At 37.4% G+C, this 4,740-nt stretch overlaps 1 annotated feature.

The window, feature by feature from the left end:
- Window positions 282–784: an enhancer, noted in NCBI's record as "OCT4-NANOG hESC enhancer chr1:91027459-91027961 (GRCh37/hg19 assembly coordinates)". NCBI's record gives its function as "activates a minimal SCP1, AML or CMV promoter by ChIP-STARR-seq in naive and primed H9 embryonic stem cells {active_cell/tissue: H9 hESC(naive and primed)}" and the evidence as "EXISTENCE:reporter gene assay evidence [ECO:0000049][PMID:30033119]".

Here is a 4,740-nt window from a genome sequence, read left to right on the forward strand (position 1 = left end):
ATCCCTTAGGGCTTCATTGACCGTTGCATTTCTATCCCAGGGAGAGGAAAAGAGCAGAGGTAAAAAATTAAAACCCTGCTTCTTTTAACAGCAAATTTCTCGAGTGGGCCCAACAGTGGTGTGCAGAGAGTCTTAAGCAATAAAGCAGTCAATAGGGACTCTAACGAGCCAACAGCAATTTTATCCTGAGGAAAGACATTAGCTTACATAATAAAGTTGGGGCAGAATTGTTCTGAGTGGTGTGAGTAGAAATGTTTTGTTGACTGCTGTTGAAATGGGTAACAGACTTTGCATATTATATCACCATTTTTTGTTGTATTTCACATGCAGTGTTTTTCTGCTCTTGACTTTGAGGTGTGAGGGAGAGGCTCTAATCATATGGCCTTGTGCAGATGCTCCATTTGCATTTCTATTAATCCAGGCCCTCCTGGAGATGCTCGAGCAGGGACACAGCATGCTTTGTGTTTGAACTTGTGAGAACCCATACCACCGCTTAATAACTTAATACATATGTATAGCCTCCCTCAGACAGCCCACTAGGAGGCAGAAGCAGGAGGAGGTGCTACCAGCTTGCAGACTGCAGGGCTCTACAGAAATGTGTTCTGACAGGAAGGAGCACCTTGCTTGGTAAAGAGTCCCTGTGCCTTAATCCTATCTAGCCAACCCACCCGCCTGGCTGGGAAAGCCTATTTTTTAAGCACATAACCAAAGTATTAGTTCTTAGTAGTCAGAAATAACTGACAACTAAGAAGGAGGCTGGCAGGCCCCTTGCAACTCTTAGTTTGGTAATATGGCATGGCTGTCCTTTTGTTTCTGGCAGGAATTGGGCAGTACAGAATTTTTTAATGCAGGTAATGTAAGGAAGCAGAAAAGTGTCGTGTTGAAAGCATTGGGTTTACAATCCAGCAGACATTGTTTTGAACCCCAGCTCCACCTCCTATCAGTTGGGACACCTTAGCAGATCACTTAACTTATTCTGAGTCTTGACTTTCTCATCCAACTAATAGGGATAGTATCTGTCTTGCAAGGTTGCCATGAGAATGTTAAAAAAAAAAAAAGTACAGGTGAAGCACCTGTTGTTGATTGTGCATTTAATATTTAATAAATTGTAGCTATTAATATTATGACATCATTTGTTGCATTGCATGGCTTCCTAATGTTGCCAGTTGATTCATTCATGGACTGTTTTGCAGGATAAATGAAAGAAGGGCAGGATGGGGAAAATGAATGAATGGTGGTGTGTGGGCCTTTGGCCCTGTCAGTGTGACCCAAGAACCAAACAGATTCTGAGAAAACTACACTCTGAAAATGTTGTGAAGAAAATACACACCATTATTTTTAAGTGGACTTAGGTTTCCTTCTGCCTTTTGAATTTTATGTTGGGAAAATCTATGAAATTGGCACACATGAATGAAAACCACACAAAGTTCTTCTAAGAACTCTCCAAAGGAAGCCCAGCAGAGCAGCCTCCATGGCAATGCTCATTTCCGCTAAACATCACAAGAATTACTTTCAACTGAGGAGAGTACGTTGCATTCTAGGAAGAAATCTCACCACCTGTTAAGATTTTCCTAAGATTACATGAATAAGAAATGTTCCTTTCTTTGCCTTTCTTTTTTTCCCTTAAATAAACTGGAGATATATTTGAGAAGTCAGAATTACAGATTCTCATTTTCTTTATCAATTTTGTTCAAGTTCTTATTTCATATTTTTAGGCACATTATGTACATTTATTTTATAAATAGCCAATGAGCAGAATGATGAATGGTAAAGATAATAATGTAACTGTGCAAACTAGCTCCTACCTAGGGCCTTTTAGTGCATGCCTGAAAGGTGGCAGAAAATAATTTAAACAAAATTAAATAGATAGCATGTGGCTCTTGTCCAGGCAACCCTCAACTACATCAACATGGCTAATATTAGGAGGAATGAGTAGGGCTAAAAGAAATTTTTAAAAATCTAAAAATTTTAAAATTCTAAAAAATTTAAATTCTAAAAAAAATTTAAAATCCCATAATTTAAAAAATCTATCTACAAGGGTTATTATGTTCATCTTATGATTCTACACAAGACCTCATATATATTGAATGTTGAAGAACTATGAAAAGGACATTAATCTATTTCAAAATGGTAATTTGTTAGAATCAGTTCAAAACATAGTGAAGGCCCTTGAAAGCAAGTGGTTATTTCAGGGCCACAATTAGCTGTGTCAAATGATCAGCAGAGGCAACCAATGGCAGACCTCCTCTGCCCCGGTGCCTGCCATCACCATTACACTAGGTTGTTTGCGTGCCTACTTGCACCTTCTAGTTTCATCTGCATTACTTCTTCCACAACCCCTATCCAACCAGTTGGTGGCTCCTAACCCAGCTCCACACCTAGTGCCAGCCTCTATTCGCACAAACTCTAATTTTGGTCACTCACCTCCTCTGATGTCTGTAAAAATCTTCATGCCATCCAATAAGTAACTAGTAATTGTATTTCTTACCCCAACACTCAATCACAAAAGGAATAAGAGAAGTTGGTAATAAAGTATTATCCTACGTTTATGTCCAGTTTTATCCAAAAGTCAGAGATTTGATGATGCTTTTCTGAATTATTTTTATTCTGATTTCCTGGAAGTCAGCACCATTAGGTTGATAAAAATGAATTCTCTTTGGGCAATATTCCCATAATCTGTCAGTCTCCAGAAGCTTCTATTTTTACCCTACTCTGTAGCATCATTTTTTCTGCCAAAAGAACTTGGCTCATGGGGCAGTGACTGTACCTACATAGCTCCTTTCTTAGATTAAGTTCAAGAATGCTAAGAGAAAAACACAGCACTCTAACTTTTGGGAACTGCAACCAAAGAACACATGGGCTATAGAGTCAGGATTCAATTCCCAACTCTGTCATCTACTAGCTATTTGAGCAAGTCATTTGCTATCTTCGTAACTCAGTGTCTTTATTCATAAAATAGGGATAGTAATAGTAGCTACCCCTACAGTTTTTTAGTATGGAAAGACTTAACATACGTAAAATTCTTGGAATAGTACCTATCTCATAGTAAGTGTTTAATTAATATTTTCTATCATCATCATCATCACTATTATTATTACTTTACAGACATATATAATTCATCCTTTTTTTCCCATTTTTGAAGGATATTTTCTAACCACTTTTTGGTGTACCACTTAAGTTTATTTTGTGTTTTTTCTTGCACAAATCTAGAGTCGTTTATTGTTTCAATATTTATTCTTCATGTCGGCCACATGTCAAGTCCTTAAATTTATTTTCTTTATACTAAGGCAGCAGTTCAATTTCTGAAGTTGTTCTGAAAGGTCCCAGTTTCTCCCTGTGACCTTTACCCTCACACACGCATTGAATTACTGGTGGTCCTTATTACATACCACCAAGAATGAGTGCTTGTCTGCTGTTTTTTTAGTTAAGACATTTAGTCAACTCTGCTAGATAGAGGTCTGTGACTAAAAGCTGTCAATTAAGCAGAATCTAGCTTTAATGCTTTACTTGGGGAGTGCAGGGAGGAGAGAGCTACGTGTATCTTAATTCCATGGTAGGACCCGGGATACGAGCGAGCTGGTAACGAGGAAGGCAGCATGGAAACGTCAGAGGATAAGACAAAGCTGAATAGGACAGAAGATAAACAGAGAATAGAAAAGCAGAATGAGGCTAAAGTTCAAAGTAGATGGTTCCTAAGACAAAGCCAAATGGACCACACTTTAGGATCACCTGGACATTTTAGAAGGACTGTGTTCTGTCTTTCCTCTAAGTCATGCTTTGGGAAACTTAAATTATATCTTGGATTTCTGATCGAATCCCCAATGAATCAAAAATTTGTTAGAAAGAAGGGAAGGAAAGAAAGAGGGGAAGAAAGAAGACAGGGAAGAACGGGAATATTCTAGTACATATCCTAAGTTTGGTTCAATTTCATTCTAATCTGTTATACTTTCTACATATATAATTCATTGGGAAAATAATATTCATTATAATAATGACAGTATAGAATCAAAACAAAATCTTCAGGAAATGAAAATTTAATGAATAATGATGTGACAATGAAAATGTGTTCATCATACTCTAATAAGGCAGGAAGTGACCTAAAATGTTTCAGCCAAAGATTTCCTAACTAAATCTAAAAAAAAAAAAAAAAATCACTAATTATAATAGAGATGACAAACAAGGCTTCCTCTCACAAAACACCTGCAATCTATTGGTAGGAACTGCCTGGGCTACTGTATTGAGAAGAATTCTGAAGCTAATGTAGGTTGAGCAGGAAAGAGCACTGTGAACCATCAGTTACATCTGCCACGGTGGATATTTATGGTATACATTCCTTTGCTTTCACCATTCTGGGCTGTGAGGATGACATGTTCTAAGAATTCTAGTTAAAATCAAGACTTCGCTGTATATGTTACCAATAATGTTAAACAAATACTTAATATGCACTCTTTGTCCAAGGAACTACATAATTTTCAATGAAAAGTAAAGTTCCAAAAAATTCCTTTAAAATGGAACTGCATCCACAATTGCATGACGTGTTTTTCATAATTTATAATTTTTTCTTGATTTCACTATATTTTAAACAGTTGCTCAGACTTCATGAGCATTAAGATGTCTGTGACTGTAATCAAATAACCACAACCACCACATACAGATATTCCACTAACTCTATCAACAACCACAGGCCGGGTGCGGTGGCTCACGCCTGTAATTCCAGTGCTTTGGGAGGCCAAGATGGGT

This window comes from Homo sapiens, chromosome 1 (assembly GCF_000001405.40).
Source record: "Homo sapiens chromosome 1, GRCh38.p14 Primary Assembly".
NCBI classification, from domain to species: Eukaryota; Metazoa; Chordata; class Mammalia; order Primates; family Hominidae; genus Homo; species Homo sapiens.